Source organism: Homo sapiens, chromosome 8, assembly GCF_000001405.40.
Source record: "Homo sapiens chromosome 8, GRCh38.p14 Primary Assembly".
NCBI classification, from domain to species: Eukaryota; Metazoa; Chordata; class Mammalia; order Primates; family Hominidae; genus Homo; species Homo sapiens.
In genome coordinates this window covers 17,630,544-17,646,849 of record NC_000008.11, presented here as the reverse complement: position 1 = coordinate 17,646,849, position 16,306 = coordinate 17,630,544, and the positions used below count along the sequence as shown (strand labels likewise).

Sequence of the window (16,306 nt, the reverse complement as noted above, 5' to 3'; positions counted from 1 at the left end):
CTCTGTGGAAAATATGATTGTAGTAGTTCATGCTTTTACCAAAGCGGCCTGAAAACTGTACACTGAGACCCAGGCCAGCAAGCCTGCTCCCACGGCCTCTGGCTGCCTCTGAGAATGCTTTCAGACAAAGAGCAACACAAAACCAAATAGAAAACAGCCTGCAACATAAGGTAGTCATAAAACATGTCGAATATTTGCAAAAGTGGCTCTCAGCCTACTATGAAATTGCCCAAAAAGTACAGTTATTATTATATATTTTTTTGAGATGAGGTCTCACTCTTCTGCCCAGGCTGGAGTACAGTGGTGTGATCTTAGCTTACTGCAGCCTCCACCTCCTAGGCTCGAGCAGTCCTCCCACCTCAGCCTCCTGAGTAGCTGGGACTACAGGCACATGTCACCATGCGTGACTAATTTTTGTATTTTTAATAGAGACAGAGTTTCGCCATGTTGCCCAAGTTGATCTTGAACTCCTGGCCTCAAGTTATCCACCCACCTTGGCCTCCCAAGGTGCCAGGATTATGAGCTTGAGCCACCACGCCCGGCCTGTGTTTGGGTTTTCTTAGCCAGCCAAATACCTGTGACCTTGTGCAGGATTCTGTTTTATCCCAAAGGAATAATTTTGGACTTTAAAGTTTCAAACGCTAAGAAAAATTTTTCAAGTTTTTTTTTTTTTTACATAGATCTCATGGTTTCTGGCCTTTTTCTTCAAGGCAGCTTTCCACGGAGCAGGCTGTTCTGCAAGAGTCGCTGGAGAAGGAGTCGAAAGTCAACAAGCGACTCTCTATGGAAAACGAGGAGCTTCTGTGGAAACTGCACAATGGGGACCTGTGTAGCCCCAAGAGATCCCCCACATCCTCCGCCATCCCTTTGCAGTCACCAAGGAATTCGGGCTCCTTCCCTAGCCCCAGCATTTCACCCAGATGACACCTCCCCAAAGTCCACAGACTCTCTGAAAGCATTTTGATGCAGGTCTGCAGGACTGACCCCAAGGAGGAACGTGGGCACAAGAGGTATATCAGCACACGTGTGATCACCGTAGGGTAACTGGAGCGTCACCACCGGCGGAATCGCAGCTTCTGAGACTGGAACTCTGGAGGAAGACTTTTGCCTCCGTCCAAAAGATTCCTCCAAAAAAAGATTTAAAAAAAGATTTCGGCATCGACACGGACGTTGTTGCACAAAGCACTTAAAGAACGAGAGCATCTTGTTCATTGCCTTTTTCACCTAAGCATAGGGGGAAAAACTCTCAGGGCCCTATTAAGATTTATAACCTTTGTAATGTTCTTCACCACAGACACCTTCTTGTGAGTTTTCAGTCTGACTGTGGGGGTGGGGGGTGTGAATGAAATGGATGTCACAGAGTGTCATGTGTCTGATGCAGCCTCCTCTGCTGTGTATTAAATGTCAAAATCTGAATATATCTGGATATGTACTAATCAAATAATAATCAATCAATCAGCATATACATTTCAGCCAAAGCCATAGAAGAAAAAGCAATAGTTGCTTGAATTATGATCATCTACCACCAACTCTGCTCAGCCCTGTAACAGGGTAGGGAGAGGGTATAACAGGAAGAGCTTTGACTTGTCCCTGTCTATACATTCTCTGTATCTTTTGGGGGTAACTTCTTGGCAGTTTTTCAGTGTTCAGCCATGTCAGTTGAAACTAGATTTTTCTGTAGATTTTTTACTTACCCATGTGAGCCTAACACTATCCTGTAATTCATTTTCTCAGGCTATGTGTAAATGTAGAACCCTAATTTTTCTATAAAAAAACAAACTAACTAACTAACTGTGTAAAGAAAGAAAAAGGGAAGTACCAATGGGTTTTTCCACCTTATTTTTACCTTTGATCTACCCTTGCAGATTTAACCTGTCTTCTTCCCTCCCATTATTCTCATTTTCCTTTTACCTTTCTCCACCATCCAGAGCCACAAAAGCAAACCTTCTACCTCCTACCTACTTTTCTCTGGGACAAGGATAAAGGAATATGATTTTCCAGAGCCCCAGAGCCAGCTCATCTTCCAGGTGCTGAAACCACTTTCCAAATAAACTAAAGCCTGGATTTGATATTACAAATTTTGGGAAATCTTAGAATAAAGAACGAGAACAAGGAAGTCATTGGCTAGTATAATTAAGAAAGGTAGGATTCAGTGCTTACCGATGATGCAGTACTTGATAGAAGAAAACAGTCTGGGAGGATAGCGCTCATTTTTCAGTTACCCTTTAAGGAGTCCCTTTGTCTTTGGGAAAGTAGCAGAATGGTCCGCTTCTTTCCCATGAGTGGAAAATGTGGCTTGTCCAACTCTCCTCCAGGTTGCATTTCAGTTTCTTTCCAAAACTTATTACCTCCCCTAATCCTGAGACTTTGGAAAAGGTGGAAGGAAGAACTGTTGCTTTATCTCCCCCTCCCTGCATGTGTCAACATTGTGATGTCAGTATTTACTAATCTACATTCAGTGGCTGTACAAATAACAGCTGTAGTAAGAAGAGATTCAGGATGCTAGAGGTGAATATTTGGGTCATTTACATGTACACTACATAGCAAGTTGATACTCATGTTGCATGTTCTTTTAAATTAGTGATTTTGTGTCTTAAGTCTTTAACTTCCAATACTTCATCATGTATGTAACCTTCCATGTTTGCTTCTGATAAATGGAAATGTAGGTTCACTGCCACTTCATGAGATATCTCTGCTCACGCTTCCAAGTTGTTCTCAATGACATTAGCCAAAGTTGGGTTTGCCATTCATCCCCTAGGCATGGTAAATCTTGTGTTGTTCCCTGCTGTCCTCCGTATTACGTGACCGGCAAATAAATCTCATAGCAGTTAATATAAAACATCTTTGGAGGATGGGAGAGAACAGGAGGGAAGATGGGAAACAAAATAGAGAATTCTTAAGATTTTGTTTAAACCAAATGTTTCATGTAGAATGCAAAATGTTGGCACGTCAAAAATATGAATGTGTAGACAACTGTAGTTGTGCTCAGTTTGTAGTGATGGGAAGTGTATTTTACTCTGATCAAATAAATAATGCTGGAATACTCAAGAATTGCATCCTCTGACCTACTTCATTCTTCAAATTCTTCATTTTTACAGCCCTGTGACAGCACAGTAAAGGTCGTATCTCCTCTTAGTTTATATTTCCCAGGAATTTCCACTGCAACCGCAGAGTTGGTCATGGGCTCACAGAGCTAGAGTGAGAGGTAAGCTCTTCTTCTCTAAATTCAAAGCTATCTATGTTTGACAAATAAATTTTGGCTGGCTGTAACAATTTCTGCTGTATAAGAAAATTGGACAAACTTGGTAAATATTTTTGAATATCGTAAAAAATGTCTAAACAAAGTTGAATGTTCTTAATCTATGCATCTATTTCATATTGAAAGCTAAACTTCTAAAAACTTGTTCTAGTTATTGAATAGACTAATCTACAATTACACCTTTGAGTGCAGCAGTTTAAAAAAATGAAGTGTCCTTGAATTTTTTCAGTACCTTCATAAATTAACTCACATTTGTTAAAGTTGCTACTAAGACAAAATGACATTTCTAAGCATTTGAGTCTGGAGTTGTTGCTTGTGGGTAAGTAGTTGAACTGTATCTAGTACATTTTAAAATTCTAATATATTGCGGTGATATAAAAGAGAATACTTGGTATTGACCCACGTATCACCACCACCAAGTCTTTCTGGATGTATTTTAAGTCAACTTAACTTAAAAAACACTTATCCCACTTTTTATTTTTTACAAAAACGTGCTCATTTAATAGAAATGATTGATTATATAAAATTGTTTACACATGTATAAAAACTAGGAACACGTATGTAGGTAAGCAATCAAAATCATGCTTTCTGTTAGAAAAGTTAACACTTCTGTGAATAGACTGGATGACTTCCTTTTAGTTTGGATGTCTGGGTCGGACTCACGAGACGCTGGGGTTGGGGTGTGGTGCTTGACATCAGCCTCTGGCAAAGCACTAATAAAAGGAACCCCAAAGCTGACTGTGTACACAAATGGGCTTTCCATAAGTTCATTACATTTCCTTTTCCAAGTCAGGAAAACTCAACAGTGGTAGCTACTGTGGTCTGTCCTTGAAGATTCTGAGCAGTGCAAATGTAATATCCTGCATCAATCGTCTCAAAGTCTTCCACTGTAATGACACTCTGGGAGATTCTCGTGGTGTGTCCCAGTCCTCTGTGGATCAACCTCCAAGTGTCTTGGATCGTCACAGGCCTTTCATCCTGTTTAACGACACCCACAAAGACTGAAGCAAGAGGGACAAGCTGCTATAAAGAGCTCCCACTCACCCAACACTGTTGAGCGTTCCTTTCAGAGAGCAAAGCACATGCTTATAAAAGACTGTTTAGTATGCGTAGCTCATAAGCTGTGGAAGCTTCTACACTGGAATCATTTTAGGTTGCATTTTTTCCAAACAGCCCTTGAATTTCATTACGTTGTTTGGCACTGTCTTTCTGCCCTTTTCTTCTGTAAGGTTTTACTTAATCTAAAATGTATGCTTTTAGAACTCCAAGGAAGTGGAACTGGTATTAAGCATAAGCAGGGACAAAATTTTCCACTGGCCCCGTTCTTCACATTGCCCACTTTCTTTTCCTAGCTAAGTGGTTCTTACCTACAGAACTGAAAGTCAGTAGCCTGAAAAAGCACCCACTGTATAAATGACTAAGAGCTCCCAATTGCTCAGATTTGAGAGAGGGAGAAGTATGATTAGGCCAGTGTGCCTTAGGACTCTAGTGGGAGAAAAGTTGTACCAAGGATGGGTAAGATAATGTACTACATGACAGGACCCCTATTTCTACAAAGTGCGATGGTCACTTTTGAGATGTCCACCCAACTCCAGTGATAAGAACATAGTATTTTCTGAATTCATGTAACAGAACTAATATATCACTAAGTGAATACCTTTTCTCATAAAATACCAAATAGCAATGTGGCGGGGACCTCTATTGAAAATCATCAATGTCCTGTAAGTATGACCAACACGTTTGATAATCAAGTGCCTGGTACCAGGATGCCGGAAAACACTATTCCCCAGAGACAGTTATTTTCTACCAATCACAGCCCATAGGCCAGAAGGATGTCAGCTACTTAATGTGTCTTGTGGAGGCCAAATCTCTTCTGGCAACAAAGGGATTATTCCGTGCTGGGAGCAGAGCTGTTATTTTAGCAAGCAGAACATGCACAAGGGCTAAATACGCTGCAATTGCTTTTATGAGAAGTCTACTTTAAAATTATCTCTGGCCTCACAGCACCTTTTTGGCGTGGTCTATGTCCACTTGGTGGATGTCTGCTCACAGCAGCTTGCCATGGGCACAGCTTGTATAGAGAACACTCTAGCCAAGTGAAACACAGGAATAGAAAGGAGCAGCAGAAAGAGCCCTATGGGCTCTCTCAGTCCCCAAGGAAGCCATTTCTGACTTTGTCTCACAGAGATCCCTGGAGAGGGCTACCAGAGAAACTGGGAAAAGACCACAGGGAGAAGGAAACTTCTAGCTGAACTTTGTAACAATTTTGACCAAACACAGTTTCCTGGACAGAACTCGGGTGAGGGGGTGAAGCAGGAGTGCAGACACAGCACAGAAACCGTGGCAGGTAGGAGATGTGAAATCTGAAAACCCTGTTTGCTTTCTTATCCAAGAGGCTGGTAGCCTGGGACAAGTTCTCAACCCTGCTCATCCACTGCCTAGAAACAAACTCGGTGCTGTTGGCAGGGACAGAGGGAGTGAGACCGGCCCTTTGGGCTACGTGGGAGCTGGGTGAGGCCTGTAACTGCTGGCTTTCCCCCACTTCCCTGGTGACCTGCATGACACAGCAGAGCAGCCATAATCCCCTGAGGAACATAACCCCATTGGCCTGAGAACCACACCGCCAGTCCCAACAGCAGCCATAGCAAGACCCGCCCAAGGAGAGTGTCTGAGCTCAGACACGCCTAGCCCACCCCCAACTAATGGTCTTTTTCTACCCACCCTGGTAGCCGAAGACAAAGGACATAATCTCTTGGGAGCTCTAGGGTCCTGCCCACCACCTGATCCTCCCTATACTACTGCAGCTAATGCTGTCTTTAAAGTGCCACCTCCTGGCAGAAGACCAACACAAAACTAGTGCAATAAACGAAACTACAACTAAGGACCCTCACAGAGTTCATCCATTTCACTCCCCTGCCACCTCCATTAGAGCAGCTGCTGGCATCCATGGCTGAGAGACCTGAGACATCAAAGGACTCTGTACAGGCACCACTAAGTACCAGCCCAGAGCCCAGTAACTCTGCTGGGTGGCTAGATACAGAAGAGAAATAACAATCACTGCAGTTTGGCTCTCAGGAAGCCACACACATAGGGGAAGGGGGAGAGCACTGTATCAAGAGAGCACCCCATGGGACAAAAGAATATGAAGAGCAGCCCTTGAGCCCCAGATCTTCCCTCTACCATAGTCTACCCAAATAAGAAGGAACCAGTAAAACAATTCTGGTAGTATTTCAAAACAAGTTTCTTTAACACCCCAGAAGATCACACTAGCTCACCAGCAATTTATCCAATCCAAAAAGAAATCCCTGAATTGCCAGAAAAAGAATTCAGAAGGTCAGTTATTAAGCTACTCAAGGAGGCATCAGAGAAAGGTGAACTCCAACTTAATTAAATCAAAAAAGATACAGGATATGAAGGGAAAAATCTTCAGTGAAATAGATAGCAAAAATAGAAAACAATCATAATTTCTGGAAATGAAGAACACACTTAGAGAAATGCAAAATACATTGGAAAGTCTTAGCAATAGAACTGAACAACCAGAAGAAAGAACTTCAGAACTCGAACATCAGATTTTTGGATTAACCCAATCGAACAAAGACAAACAAAAAAGAATTTAAAAGAATGAACAAAGCCTCCAAGATGTTTGGGATTATATTAAACAAACAAACCTAAGAATAATTGGTGTTCCTGAGGAAGAGGAGAAATCTAAAAGTTTGAAAGACATATTTGAGGGAGTAATCAAAGAAAACTTCCCTGGCCTTGCTAGAGAGCTACACATCTGAATACAAGAAGCTCAAAGAACACCTGAGAAATTCATTGCAAAAAGATCGTCACCTAGGCACAGAGTCATCAGGTTATCTAAAGCGAAGATGAAGGAAAGAATCTTAAGAGCTGTGAGGCAAAAGCACCAGATAACTTATAAAGGAAAACATGTCAGATTAACAGCAGATTCCTCAGCAGAAACCCTACAAGCTAGAAGAAATTGAGGCCCTACCTTCAGCCTCCTTAAACAAAAGAATCATCATCTAAGAATTTTGTGTACAGCAAAACTAAGCTTCATAAATGAAGGAGAGATACAGTCTTTTTCAGACAAACAAATGCTGAGAAAATTCGCCACTACAAACCCAGCACTGTAAGAAATGCTAAAAGGAGCACTAAATATTGAAACAAATCCTTGAAATACACCAAAATAGAACCTTCTTAAAGCATAAATCTCATAGGACCTATAAAACAAAAACACAATAAATAAATAAATAAATAAAAACCAAGGTATTCGGGCAACAAATAGCAAGATGAATAGAATAGTACCTCACATCTGAATACTAATGTTGAATGTAAATGGCCTAAATGCTCCATTTAAAAGATTCAGAATGGCAGAATGGGTAAGAAGTCACCAACCAAGTATCTGCTGTTTTGAAGAGACTCACCTAACAAATAGGACTAACATAAACTTATGGTAAAGGGCTGGGAAAAGATATTCCATGCAAAGGGACACCAAAGTGAGCAGGAGTAGCTATTCTTTTTGTTTGTTTTGTTTTGTTTGAGACAGAGTCTCACTCTGTCGGCCAGACTGGAGTGCAATGGCTCAATCTTGGCTCAATGCAACCTCCACCTCCCAGGTTCAAGTGATTCTTGTGCCTCAGCCTCCTTAGTAGCTGGGATTACAGGTGCAGGCCTGTCTTATAGAGGAGTAGCTGTTCTTATATCAGACAGAACAAACGTTAAAGAAACAGCAGTTAAAAAAGAGAAAGACGGACATTATGTAATGATAAAAGGACTTGCCCAACAGGAAAATATCACAATTATATATATATATATATATATATATATATATATATATATATATATATATGCACCTAATGCCAGAGCTCCCAAATTTATAAAACAATTACTGTTACACCTAAGAAATGAGATAGACTGCAACACAGTAATAGTGGGGAACTTCAATACTCCACTGTCAGCAATAGATAGGTAATCAAGACAGAACATCAACAAAGAAACAATGGATTTAAACTATAACCTAGAACAAATGGACTTAAGGGCTATTTGTAGAACATTCGACCCAACAACTGCAGAATATACATTCTATTCATCAGCACATGGAACATTCTCCAAGAGAGACCATATCATAAGCCACAAAACAAGTTTCAATAAATTTAAGAAAACTGAAATTATATCAAGTACTCTCTCAGACCACGGTGGAATAAAATTGGAACTCAATTCCAAAAGCAACCCTCAAAACATACAAACACATGGAAATTAAATAACCTGCTCCTGAATGATCACTGGGTCAAGAATGAAATCACGATGGAAGTTAAAAAATTATTTGAACTGAATGAAAATAGTAGCACAACCTATCAAAACCTCTGGTATACAGCAAAGGCAGTGCTAAGAGGAAAGTTCATAGCATTAAATGACTACATCAAAAAGTCTGAAAGAGCACAAATAGACAATCTAAGGTCACACCTCAAGGACTGGAAAAACCAGAACAAACCAAACCCAAACATAGCAGAACAAAAGAAATAAAGATCTGAGCAGAACTGAATGAAATTGAACCAAAAAAATACAAAAGATAAACAAAAAGCTGATTCTTTGAAAAGATAAATAAAACTGATAGACTATTAACAAAATTAACCAAGAAGATCCAAATAAGCTTCAGTTAGAAATGAAACAAGATATTACAACCAATACCACAGAAATACAAAAGATAATTCAAGGCTACTGTGAACAGCTTTACATACTCAAGCTAGAAAACCTAGAAGAGATGGATAAATTCCTGGAATTATACCACCCTCCTAGATTAAACCAGGAAGAAAGAGAAACTCTGAACAGACCAATAACAAGCAGTGAGATTGAAATGGTAATTTAAAAAACTGCCAACAAAAATAAGCCCAGAATCAGATGGATTCACAAATGAATTCTATCAGACATTCTAAGAACTGGTATCAATCCTATCAACATTATTTCACAAGACAGAGAAAGAAGGAATCCTCCCTAAATCATTCTGTGAAGCCAGTATCACCCTAATACCAAAACCAGGAAAGGACATAACAAAAAAGAGAAAACTATAGACCAACATGTTTGATGAATATAGATGCAAAAATCCTTAACAAAATACTAGCTAACCAAATCCAACAGCATATCAAATAGATAGTCCACCATGATCAAATGGGTTTCATACTGGGGTGGTTTAACATACACAAGACATTAATGGGATACACCACATAGAATTAAAAACAAAAAATCACATGATCATCTCAACAGACACACAAAAAACATTTGACAAAATCCAGCATCCCTTTATGATTAAAACCCTCAGCAAAATTGGCATAGAAGGGACATACCTTAAGGTAATGAAAACTGTCTATACTGAATGGGAAAAAGTTGAAAGCATTTCCCCTGAGAACTGCAACAAGACAAGGATGCCCACTTGCATTCAACATAGTACTGGAAGTCCTCGCCAGAGCAATCAGACAAGAGAAAGAAATAAAGGGCATCCAAATCAATAAAGCGAAGTCAAACTGTCGCTGTTTGCTGATGATGTAATCATATACCTAGAAAACCCTAAAGACTCCTCCAAAAAGCTGCTAGAACTGATAGATGAATTTAGCAAAGTTTCAGGATACAAAATTAATGTAAACAAATCAGTAGCTCTGCTATAAACCAACAGCAACCAAGCTGAGAATCAAATCAATAACTCAACCCCTTTTATAATAGCTGCAAAAAATATATATACTCAGAAATATACCTAATCAAGGAGGTGAAAGACCTCTGCAAGGAAAACTACAAAACACTGCTGAAAGAAATCATAGATGACACAAACAAATGGAAACACATCGCATGCTCATGGATGGGTAGAATCAATATTGTGAAAATGACCATACTGCGAAAAGCAATCCACAGATTCAATGCAATTCCCACCAAAACACCACCATCATTCTTCACAGAACTAGAAAAAACAATCCTAAAATTCATGTGGAACCAAAAAAGAATCTGCAGAGCCAAAACAAGACTAAGCAAAAAAAAAAAACAAATCTAGAGGCATCCCATTACCTGACTTCAAACTATACTATAAGGCCATAGTCACCAAAACAGCATGGTACTGGTATAAAAATAGCACATAGACCAGTGGAACAGAATAGAGAACCCAGAAATAAACCCAAATACTTACACTGATCTTTGACAAAGCAAACAAAAGCATAAAATGGGGAAAGGACACCCTATTCACCAAATGGTGCTGGGATAATTGGCAAGCCAAATGTAGATGATGAATAAGACTGAATCCTTATCTTTCACCTTATACAAAAATCAACTCAAGGTGGATCAAATACTTAAATCTAAGACCTGAAACCATAAAAATTCTAGAAGATAACAGTGGAAAAACCTTTCTAGACATTGGCTTAGGCAAAGAGTTCATGACCAAGAACCAAAAAGCAAATGCAACAAAAACAAAGATAGATCGGGCTTAATTAAACTAAAAAACTTCTGCACAGCAAAAGAAATAATCAGTAGAATAAACACACAACCCACAGAGTGGGAGAAAATTTTTGCAATCCATACATCTGAAAAAGGACTAACACCCAGAATCTACAAGGAACTCAAACAAATCAGCAAGAAAATAACAATCCCATCAAAAATTGGGCTTAGGACATGAATAGACAATTCTCAAAAGACATACCAAAGTCCAACAAACATATGAAAACGTACTCAACATCACTAATGATTAGGGAAATGCAAATCAAAACCACAATGTGATACCACCTTACTCCTGCAAGAATGGCCATAATTTAAAAATTAAAAAATAATCGATGTTGGCATGGATGTGGTGAAAAGGCAACACTGTTACACTGCTGGTGGGAATGTAAACTAGTACAACCACTATGGAAAACTGTGGAGATTCCTTAAAGAACTAAAAGTAGAACCACCATTTGATCCAGCAATCCCATTACTGGGTATCTACCCAGAGGAAAAGAAGTCATAATATGAAAAAGATATTTGAACACATGTTTACAGCAGTACAATTCACAAGTGCAAAAATATGGAACCAGCTCAAATGCCCATCAATCAATGAGTGGATAAAGAAATGTAGTATATATACCATGGAATACTACTCAGCCATAAAAAGGAATTAAATAATGGCATTTGCAGCAACCTGGATGGAGACCATTATTCTAATTGAAGTAATTCACAAATGGAAAACCAAACATGGTATGTTCTTACTGTTAAATGCGAGCTAAGCTATGAGGATGCAGACATAAGAATGACACAATGAACTTTGGGGATTCAGGGGAAAGGGTTGGGGGGAGGGGTGAGAGATAAAAGCCTATACATTGGGTATAGTGTACACTGCTCAAGTGATGGATACACCGAAATCTCAGAAATCATCTAAGGAACTTATTCACGTAACACACACCTACTGTTCTTAAAAACCGATTGAAATCAAAAATGACAAAATATATTAAAAACAAAGAGAACACTCTGAAGGACCCCAGGAGGAGGTTAGATTAGACTCTAGTTGGCCCAGAAGATGGGATTGAAAGACTGAGGTGGGGGCAGGAGGAAAGAGGGAGATCCTTCATTTCCCTTTCCTCCCAATGTCCTTTTTTTTAAAAAAAAACCTTTTATTTTAGGTTCAGGGGTATATGTGCAAGTCTGTTATATAGGTAAACTCGTGTCATGAAATGACAGATCATTTCCTCACCCAGGTATTAATATTCAGCCTAGTACCCATTAGTTATTTTGCCCGATCTTCTCCCTCCTCCCACCCTCCACCCCCAGGTAGGCCCCAGTGTGTGTTCCCCTCTATATGTCCATGTAGTCTAATCATTTAGCTCCCACTTAAAAGTGAGAACATGAGGTATTTGGTTTTCTGTTTCTGTGTTAGTTTGCTAAGGATAATGGCCTCCAGCTCCATTTGTGTTCCTGCAAAGGACATGATCTCATTCTTTTTCATGGCTGCATAGTATTCTTTGGTGTATATGTACTATGTTTTCTTTATCCAGTCTACCATTGAAGGGCATTTAGGTTGATTCCATGTCTTTGGTATTGTGAATGGCGCTGCAATGAGCATTACTGTCCTTTCTTACTTAAGGGTTTAAAAAAAAAAAAACCTGCATATGAAGAGGGTACATTGAGCAAACTGACTAATGAAACTCAATCTCTTATTTCCTGTCCTTAAAAGAAATTCATTTTTAAATATACCGAAACATCTTCAAAAAAAACAAACAATACCTGGCCCCCAACATAGCCCCACATGTTTCTTGCACTTCTGAAGTTATGGCATATAGCACTGGGTGGGGACGAAGCTGTGAATTAAAATGGCTGGCTGAGATGCAGAGGCTGAGACGCAGGGGCTGAGATGCAGGTACAACACTTACCTTCTGCCCTGGGAAGATCCAGGTGAACTCCACCTCCACATCGGGCTCCCCCAGGACAGTGCAGAGCACACTGATGTCGTCCCCACTTTTCACTTTGTTTGAAGAAGCCAAGATGGTTGTTGAGGGAGGGCCACTGGGAACTGGAAGCAAGCACGAAACAGGCAGAGTGAGACCCCGAGTGTAACCTTGAAAACAAACCTACAGATGCATTCTTTTCCATGGAGAGAGATGGAATTTTCTGCCTTTCTCACAGCTCCCTGACCAGTGCGAGGACAGTGTGAGCCCACAACTTGGGGCTTCCTTTGAAGCCACCTTTATCTGTTGACCTTGGTGGTCTGGAATGGGGTAGGCACCAGGACTCCCAGGACAGCCTCCAAGACTGTGATTAGGAGAGGAAGCTCAGAGGTCCATCAGTGGTCATGTGAAGAGAATGAAGAGGTGAGGGGGAAGAAGTCCCTAGGGAAGAAGCAGGGAGGAAGTACTGGGTGGTGGTGTCCACAGGGGTGGCAGGGAGCAGATAGGTGTGTGGCTGACCATCCGCAGAAGACGAACAGAAAATCTAAATGTACAGATGTGAAAGATGTTTGGGCATGAGTGCTACCTGGGTCTGCAGTGCCTTTGCCTCATCATGTTTCAGAAACAAATTTCTTCATTATGGGGAATTCACTCAACAAGCTGTCTATTTATTTAGAAATGGGGTCTCTGTCACCCAGGCTGGAGTGCAGCTGCGCGATCTCGGCTCACTGCAAGTTCTGCCTCCCGGGTTCACACCATTCTCCTGCCTCAGCCTCCAGAGTAGCTGGGACTACAGGCGCCTGCCAACAGTGGTGCAATCTTAACTCTCTGCAGCCTCAAACTCCTGCATCCTGGAGGAAAGCTCAAGCCATCCTCCCACCTGTGCCTTCTGAGTAGCTAGGATTAAGGTATGAGCCACTGCACCTGGCTAGTTTTTCAGTTTTTTTGGTCTATGTTGCCCAAGCTGATCTGCAACTCATGGCCTCAAGCAATTCTCATGCCTTGACCTCCCATAGTGCTGGGATTACAGGTGTGTTAATGAGCAATTTTGATGGCAGCCTTGAGAAATGCTATGTGCTAGCAGGTGGGCCTAGAGCAGGGAGGGTGATGGACCTGATCTCTGAGCCCTTGGAATCTGTATTCTAGCAAAGGGGCGGGACACTGAGTGAGTCATCGTATGGTTAATTTAAAATGCTGTGTTAAAAGCTATGAAGCAGAAGCCCAGAGTACTCCAAAAGGCCAGAATAGAACAGTCTGAGAGCCAGGAAGGGCTTCCTTGAGGAAGCGCTGTTTGAACTAAAATCTCAAGGCCGAGCTTCAGAGACAGGAACAGGAGAAGCAGGGAGACACCAGCAGGCTGGGAATGCCCATGTTCATGGCCCTGGGTGAGAGGCAGTGGCGGAGTGGAGGAGGGCTGGGGAGAGGAGGGGAGGGAGGAGTGAGACCTGGATGGGGAGGAGGACAGAGGTGAGTCCATGTGAGGCCATTCAGGCCACGCAAAGGATTTGGACTTTGTTTCTGGGAGAAGTGGGAACCTACTGATTGGTTTAATTAAAATCAGGGAACGGGCACAGTGGCTCACTCCTGTAATCCCAGCACTTTGGGAGGCTGAGGTGGGCAGATCACCTGAGGTCAGGAGTTCGAGGCCAGCCTGGCCAACATGGTAAAACCCCATCTCTACTAAAAGTACAAAATTAGCTGGGCATGGTGGCGCATGCCTGTAATCCCAGATACTGAGCCTGAGACAGGAGAATCCCTCGAGCCCAGGAGGTGGAGGTTGCAGTGAGCCGAGATCACACCACTGCACTCCAGCCTGGGCAACAGAGCCAAGACTCTGTATTAAAAAAAAAAAAAATCAGCTACAGTGTGGAAAATGGAGTGGAGAAAGAAAAGGTGGACATAGGGGAAATGAGAAGGTATTCACATAAGTCTAGGGCAGAGACAATGCTAGCTTGATCCCTTTTTTGCAGTGAGGATGGAGAGAAACAGTAGGATTTGAAAGTGATTTAATGAAAAAAGTAGAAAGGATCGGGAGGAGGAGGGAGGTTAGCTTGGCTTCCAGCCGCAGGCCTGACCCGTGGGTGAAGGTAGTGCCATCACCAAGGCAGAGGAGGAGGAAGAACCAGGTCCAGGGAGGATGGCACTGAGGCCAGGGATGGCACGCGGAGGATGGAGGACCCCGAAGCATCTCATTGCACACCTGAGGTGGACGGCGGACACGTGGACCTGATGCTCCTAGATCCGGCCACTTCCGTTCACTTGGGAGTTACCAGTGTACAGATGTGAAGCTGGCCCAGGGACAGAACAAGGAGTGGGAAAGAAGGGTGCCTGGGGGAGCACCAGCATTTCAAAGTTGATAGAAGGCTAAGAGCTGACCAAGAAGAGTGAGAAAGCTGTGGGGGAGGTGGGGGAAGCTGGGAAAAATGGAGCCAGGGCAGAGGCTGTTCCCTGCAGGTGAGGTGGAATCCAGGAGGACAGGGACAGACTTTAATGGCATGGGGGTCCCCGAGTACCTTGGCAATAGCCGTTTTGGTGGAAGTCAAGGGAGAAGGCCAGATGGGAGTGGGCAAAGGAGTGTGTGGGAGGAAAGGAAGTGGAGAGGGACATGGAGAGCTCTTTCATTCAGGGACTTGGTTCTAGTGGGGAAGAGTGGTGGGCTCAGCAAAACACTGGGGGAGGTGGAGCAGGGCTGTGAGAGGGATTTGGTAACAGGGTGTAAGGGGCATGGCCTGCTGAATAAGCACCATGGCTGAGAACACGAGGCATGACAGAACCCAAATTCTAACTTCAGAGAGCAGCTCACTCTCGGGGCTACTGATCCCCCCGACAGGGTGGCTGAGAAGCTCCACTGCAGGGGATGGACTCTGCCCACACGTACCACTCTCCCCTGGTCAAGGTGAGAGTTCTCGGAGAGACTAAAGTCACCTTTGAGGGACTACAGTGCCAGAAGAGAAACTATTTCCCCTCCTCCCTTGCAAGGCTGGCAAGAGGGTGCTTCACTCCAGAAAGGCGAGGGAGCGGCCTCAGAGAACTGCTTGCCAAGGAATGTGGGGGGTGTTGCAGCGTTCTGCAACGCAACTGCTCCTAGCCTGCCCCTATGCCATCAGCCCGGGGCAAAAGAGCTCTGGACAAGATGGCAGGGTGGGGGACTTCGAGAAGTAAAGAGGGCCCAGACTGTGTCTCCACTGTATGTTCTGGTGGCCACGTGCTCTGGAGTCAGGTGATCAGGTAGACACAGAGATGTCAGGACTCCAGGCTCTTTCAGCCATGCTGCAGCTCAGAGCAAAGAAGTTCATACAAGCAGAGGCAGCCTCCAGCTGAGGGTCCAGGAGAAGGCGAGGCTGCATGGGACAGGGCCTAGGACACCAAGGGGGCTTGTGACAGGTGAGTCCCTATCACCTGTGACAAACCACTGGAGTCACTATCTGTTCCCATCAGGCTAACAGACAACAAGCCAGGTCAGCATTTATTACCAGGGACTGCCAGCTCTCACTTACTTCCTCTGACCTCTCTCACTTACTTCCCCTAACCTGGTGCCCCAGCAGGGAGGGGAGGGGAGGGGAGGGGAGCGGAGGGAACTGTGGCCTCCGACTCAGAGCTGCTGCACTCACCATGGAGCCTGCATGTGACAGGAAGAGCAGAAAGCAGGCTTGGA

The 16,306-nt window shown here is 42.8% G+C and overlaps 2 protein-coding genes across 15 annotated transcripts in view; one reads left to right on the top strand and one right to left on the bottom strand.

The window, feature by feature from the left end:
* Window positions 1-3,048, top strand: part of MTUS1 (microtubule associated scaffold protein 1) — a 157,720-nt gene extending 154,672 nt beyond the window's left edge. For 11 of the 13 annotated variants that reach the window (NR_156437.2, NM_001363061.2, NM_001363062.2 and 8 more), the window contains one exon: window positions 711-3,048. Coding sequence is in view for 12 of the 13 variants with exons in the window: in NM_001363061.2 (NP_001349990.1) it covers window positions 711-924 (214 nt within the window). In the remaining variant the exon portion in view is untranslated. The remainder of the gene's footprint in view (window positions 1-710) is intronic. The other 2 variants (NM_001363060.2, NM_001363057.2) reach the window with 1 other exon arrangement.
* The window catches only part of PDGFRL (platelet derived growth factor receptor like), a 66,712-nt gene continuing 54,111 nt past the window's right edge, over window positions 3,706-16,306 (bottom strand). The window contains exons 5-6 of one of the 2 annotated variants that reach the window (NM_001372073.1): window positions 12,637-12,776; window positions 3,706-4,237 (exon numbers count right to left, since the gene is read on the bottom strand). In NM_001372073.1, the coding sequence (NP_001359002.1) occupies window positions 4,049-4,237; window positions 12,637-12,776 (329 nt within the window). In that variant the 3' untranslated portion in view covers window positions 3,706-4,048. 2 annotated transcript variants of the gene reach the window in all.